Source organism: Homo sapiens, chromosome 12 (assembly GCF_000001405.40).
Source record: "Homo sapiens chromosome 12, GRCh38.p14 Primary Assembly".
In the NCBI taxonomy this organism is placed as follows: domain Eukaryota; kingdom Metazoa; phylum Chordata; class Mammalia; order Primates; family Hominidae; genus Homo; species Homo sapiens.
In genome coordinates, this window is record NC_000012.12 from 84,987,608 (window position 1) to 84,993,607 (window position 6,000).

Here is a 6,000-nt window from a genome sequence, read left to right on the forward strand (position 1 = left end):
ATTATTCAATCAAAGTTTCAGTGCATTTAATAGTCTACTGTGAAGAGAACTATGGTGGAGAGAACAAATCTCAAAAGGGAAAATACCTTCACTTTTACTATCGTATATTTACTATTGTAAAGAAGAAAATCAATAGATGAACTTTACACTTCCCAGATAGTTCAATTGTTAGGAGAGCCCAAAATACTGAGCATTTGTGATACCTAATTCCTTTATATTACCTCATTGTGAAATTATACCCATCTTAGAGATGAGAAACGTGGGGTGTTTATAATAGAGTGTGTTAATTTCCCATTGCTTCTACTCAGTAATTAAGTCTATATTTTCACCCAAGCCTTGTCCCCTACTCTTTTTCTCCACTAATTCACTTGGATAGAAGGAAGTGTGTATGCATGCACATTCAATATCACAGTGTCTCGTACAACTGCAAGAAATGAGCAGTCCTTTTGAACTCTGAGCTTCCAAAAAGTCAAACCAATAAGTACATGACAAGTTTTAGTTCTCTAATTTTTCCAACAAATATTCATTTAGTACTGTTTCTATGTCAGACATTGTGTTAGTCACTAGAAAGAGAATACAGGTAAAACAGGTGTGGTTCCTGCCTTATGTGTTCCAGCCTTGCCTCATGTATTTGTGTCTTCATGGAATTACCATGGTCTTTCCTCTTAGTCCTCATCAAAATGGTAAAATACAACATTAATCAAGTGTTATCTTTAGTTTTGTTTTCTAATAAGAATGATAAGAAGTGATCTTATTTTCACTGCTATAACCTAGAACTGTGTCTGACTCCATAATTATGCTCTAATGAATTACTAAAGAAATTAGACCTAACTATGTAATTAAAACTATGGAAGGAGGCATACTGGTTGTATAAGGAGCAGAGAAAATGCCAGATAGCTTCAGAAATGAAGAAGAGATATGAAAACAGAGATAGTAATTGGAAAGAACACTTGAGAAGTTTGGCTACCAATGGGAACAACAAGATAAGATAGCTTGAAAAAAAGAAGAGATAATAAAAAGTTTTAAATTTTTGAGTTTAACTTTGCTTTTTTTTTTTCTTAAGGTAGAAGAAATTTGAATAAGCTTAACCGTTGATTAGAAGTATGGCAGATGCTACTTGTCCTCCAAAAGTTATTCTCTTTTTCTATAAAAAGTGTTAGCTTGGCACATGGCCAGTGAGTTAGAGACTAAATTTCTTAACTTCCCTTGCAGCTAAGTGTGGCTCTAGACTCTAGCCAGGGGTATACAAGTGAAAGTGATCTTCGCAACCTCCACAAGGCTTAGTTAAAAGCAAACTTTGTGCTCTCCACTTCTTCCCTTTCCCTCTTTCACAGGCTATAATGTGGTAAAATCGTGGGGACTTAATTCCATCATATGGAGGTTACTGAATGTATCAGAGACAGCCTGCAGTTCATCACCACACAAATTAGGTAAGAGAGAAATAAGCATTTATCTTATTACTAATGTCTTTATTTTAGAGTCTCTTTTCCCCCATGCTTCTTTAGCTTACATTTTTAGCCTAGGAAGGATCCAGTGGAGGGAGAAGTTAGAGGCACCATAGTTAAAATAAATAAGTAAGGTTCATAAGAAATTGTAAAAATAAAGAATCACACTGTATATTGCATATATGAAAATATAATATGTATAGCAGTCTTTCCTGGCTCTGACACTTGAGAGAAATTTCTTTTGAGATCCTCATATCTTCAAGATATATTCAAGAACATTTTAAAATACATATATTGTATTTTATACAACTGCTTATTTTAACATTCCTCAATGCCTATCTATGAACTAATGTCAAACCTTATTTAATAAATATGGCTCTGTGAATCTAAATTTATATAGAGACAGCTCTATTAATTGGTAATAGGATTTTTACGTAATAAAATTGGGCAATATACAGGAGCAAGTTTAGTACTAGAGGAATGAGGATGCTGTTAAGGATAAAGACATTTTAAGTACATATTGTGAGTCCTGCACAATATTAGGTAACTTAACTATATTAGTTTATTTAATAGTGATAATGATGCTCAGAGATAAATTTTATTAAATTAGGGTTTTAGAAATGTAGAGTCAGAGAGGCCATGTATTTGTCCATTGTCTCACAGCTATTAAGTGGTTTATACAGAGTTCAAAGATGAAATATCCAATTCCTAATTCTCTGCACATTTCACTAGTCTCCTGATAACAAAATTCTTATTTGAATTCTAATTCAAATGTCTATCGTCTTAAAAATAAAATATCTACTAATCCAACTCAAATATCTAATAAATTATCAATAAGTAGTTTAAGGGACTATAATTAATGGAATACTAGCTTAAAAAAATTGCTTATTCCATTTCATGCCCGTGTCTTAGGGGAATTATAATTAAATGTGATCCTACTCCAAGTCTACATACTAAGTCTGATTAGATTCATTTGTAATTTGTCCTAGCCACTAGCCATTACTTTGTCATAATCAGGAGCTCCTCTTTTTACAAACTTCTCTAACTTGCAAACTTTCAAGGCCGGGCATGGTGGCTCACACCTGTAATCCTAGCAGTTTAGTAGGCCGAGGTGGGTGGATTGCCTGAGCTCAGGAGTTCTAGAACAGCCTGGGAAACACGGTGAAACCCAGTCTCTAAAAAACAAAAAGTTAGCTGGGCATGGTGGTGTGCGCCTGTAATCCCAGCCACTTGGGAGGCTGAGGCAGGACAATCAGTTGAATCCAGGAGGTGGAGGTTGCAGTGAGCTGAGATAGCGCCACTGCCCTCCAGCCTGGGCAACAAAGCAAGACTCTGTCTCAAAACAAAACAAAACAAACAAATAAAAAACTTTCATAGATTTGAAGCTACTTTTCAGAACAAAAGTATGTCACCTCTGCTTGTTCCCAATAAAAGGAACATTCACTAGTGCAACACTGCTATGTCATTATAAACGAATTTAGAAACAACCTTTCATCAGTTACTGTTTTCATAGAAAAGGGAGCTTTTGAACACTTTTGCTCCAGTGTTTCTCAAATCTTAGCCGTCAGTAAATCCCATGACTGGTGCTTAGCTGGTAACAACCTTCAGAGAATAGAAGTTGAAAAGGTTACTCTGTAGTCAGACTGCTTGTTCAAATCCCAGATCTTTTCACGTCCTAAAAGCAGGTTACAGTGCAAGTTACTTCATGCCTCTCTGCCTCAGTTTCCTTATCTGTGGAAAAGGTTGTTGTGAAGGGAAAATGAGATGATTTATGTAATTACAGTTAAAGAATATTTAAGATGCATATTGGTTAAAATATCCTAAACTTTTGCATTTTATTTACACATATGCAGTCATTATTCTACCCAGACTTTGTTTTTTTCTTAAGAAAAAGTATTAACTCACTCAAACTACACGGTTATTAACAAATTTAAAAATTTTAAACTACTGTAAAAAACAGTTTTGAAAACATAAGATACACTTCTTAAATCTTAAGAGGAGATTTTTAAATATGTAGAAAGCTGAAAGCTTATACATAAAATGATGTTTCTTTATTAAACTCTAGTACTATACTTACCTTTGTCACAGCTTCGGTTTTTTAAAGTAATAATTCAAAGAATTTTAAATCTACACATATGTATGCACAGAAACACACATATACAGCATGTGCATAAAGCTGGAGTTTTAGCTCAATGCTCAACTATATCCATTGGTACAATTCACTCCTATGGCAGGTATGAAAGGGACAGTGTTTCATTATTTATTTATTTCACTGCTTCCAAACAAAGATTCACACACCAAATTATGGAGGTAAATTATGAATGATAAGATAAAAGCTAAGGCCTGGCACACAATGGCTTATGCCTGTAATTCCAGCATTTTGGGAAGCCAAGGTGGGAGGATTGCTTGAAGTCAGGAGTTTGAGACCAGCCTGGGCAACAAAACAAGACCCTATTTCTTTAAAAAAAAAAAAAAAAATATATATATATATATATATATATATATATAGACAGGTATGATGGCACACACCTATAGTTCTAGCTACTCAGGAGACTGAGGTGGGAGAATTGCTTGAGCCCAGGAGGTTCAAGGTTGCAGTGAGCTGTGAGGCACCACTACACTCCAGCCTATGCAACAGAGAGATCCTGTCTCAAAAAAGATTAAAAAAAAAGATAAAAAGATAAACTCTATAAGAAGAAACTAAACATAGAGTAACTTAAAAGAGGTTTCTCTTTTAATTGGTGGTCTGGTCCCATGTTCCTGGGTTCGCATGCCATCTTCGCTATCAGAGACTTCACTATTAGAGACTCAGATATTTTCCATCTTATTGCTCTGTCACCCCTAAAATATGGTCCTCGTCCACATAGCAAAAGGTAGTTTACCACCACATCCACATTTCAGCCGTGGGAAGGGGAAGGGAGATAGGGTACAAACTTTTATTTTTATGGGCATGACCCTATAGTTGAAAATATAACTTCCAATTGTATTCATTGACCAGAAAGTGATTACATCCACCACCTTAGCAGAAAGAGAAGCTAGGAATTGTAGCCTAAGCTAGGTAGGCATAAGTCTAGCTAAGGCTTATGTAGATGAAATGGAGAAAAGGAATTGGAGACAGAAACATCAGTCTCTAACATAGTACAGCAAAGCCCAATTCTTTTGAATCCACAGATTCAAAACTTGCTGATGATCTTGTTTGCCAACCTATTTTACTTTTTCTGAAAAATTTAGGTTTATGTACAGAACAATAAATAATGACTCTGAGAAAAATATTTTTCAGTTTATTCTTGAATACATTGTTTAATGCCATCTGAGCTTTCATTTTGAATGGAGAGTAAAGCATAAATAAAGCTCAGTTTAGGGGTTCAGCCTGGGAAAGACCCCCAGGCAGGGGAAGCAAAATGTTACTGTGGACTTAAGGAAAAGGAAGTTGGAAATAATTTTCAATTTTCAGTGTTAAAAAAGAGTCTACGAAGAATATGCTGGGCATGACATCTTGCTTTCTTTTCTCTACTAGGAGCAACGTAAGAAGAGAAAAAGAAAAAGGAATTACAGATTAAAAAATGCAAGAGAATATAAACAAATAAAAATATGTTCAACTGGAATTTGTATTGGGATTGTATTAAATGGATGAACTAATTTGTGAAGAAATGATATCATTCCATCCAAGAGCATGGAACTCCTATTTTTCCTATTGTCTTCTATGTTTCTTTTTAAAAAGTCTTAAGTTTTCTCTGTAGAGTTTTTTGCATTCTGGATGATTTTAATTGAAACATACTGTATAGATATTGTTACTATGATAAGTGGTGCCTCTTATTAGATTTTTTAATTCATTATGATTGGTAAAGCAAATAGGAAAGATTTTGAGCATAGAAAACTGCCTCAATTACCTCATTACTTCAAAAAGTATTGCCATTGGTTCTATTGCTTTTTAAAAAAATACATGATGATATCTTCTGCACATTATGAAATTTTATCTCAACACTTTCAATCACCGCATCTCTGTTTGACACTGATGAACATTTCCAAAGTGAAATATTTTGCTCTCTTTATTTTTCTCCTTTTGCTCTTTGGGGCCTCTTTACTTTCTAAACTTGTCACTTCTTGGTTTATCTTCCAAACCTCTTGGCTTTTCTTTTGTGTAGTATACTTTAGCTTCATTCTGGGAGAGTTTTTCATTCTGAACTTTTCGATTCACTAGTTTATTCTCCATCAGTATGTATGCTAATTTTTCTTCCATTGACTTTTTTTCCCAAACACTTATTTTTCATACTTTATATTTTCACTTGGAATTTTGGGGGAATATTTTGTTCTAGTTTCAAATTGATCCTATATTTTTTGTCTCCTTAAGTATATTTATCAGGCTTATTTTAAATTCTTGATTTATATGTTATAATAATGCTACCTTAGATGGCATATGCTGCTCAATTTTTCTTTCCTTTTTCCACTCTAGTAGTGGTAGTCCTCTGGCTTCTGGTTATTTTTGTCTCTAGAGTTATGTTATGTTATTATAACAGATGTGAGAAAGGGCCCAAAACCAGGTTTTAGCCTGTGT

The 6,000-nt window shown here is 34.3% G+C and overlaps 1 long non-coding RNA gene across 4 annotated transcripts in view; it reads left to right on the forward strand.

Annotated features, from left to right (window-relative positions):
* The window catches only part of LOC102724680 (uncharacterized), a 79,821-nt gene extending 74,771 nt beyond the window's left edge, over positions 1-5,050 (forward strand). For all 4 annotated transcript variants that reach the window (XR_945152.3, XR_945154.3, XR_945155.3 and 1 more), the window contains 2 exons: positions 1,335-1,430; positions 4,963-5,050. This is a non-coding gene — a long non-coding RNA (uncharacterized LOC102724680). The remainder of the gene's footprint in view (positions 1-1,334; positions 1,431-4,962) is intronic.
* The last annotated feature ends 950 nt before the right edge of the window (positions 5,051-6,000 follow it).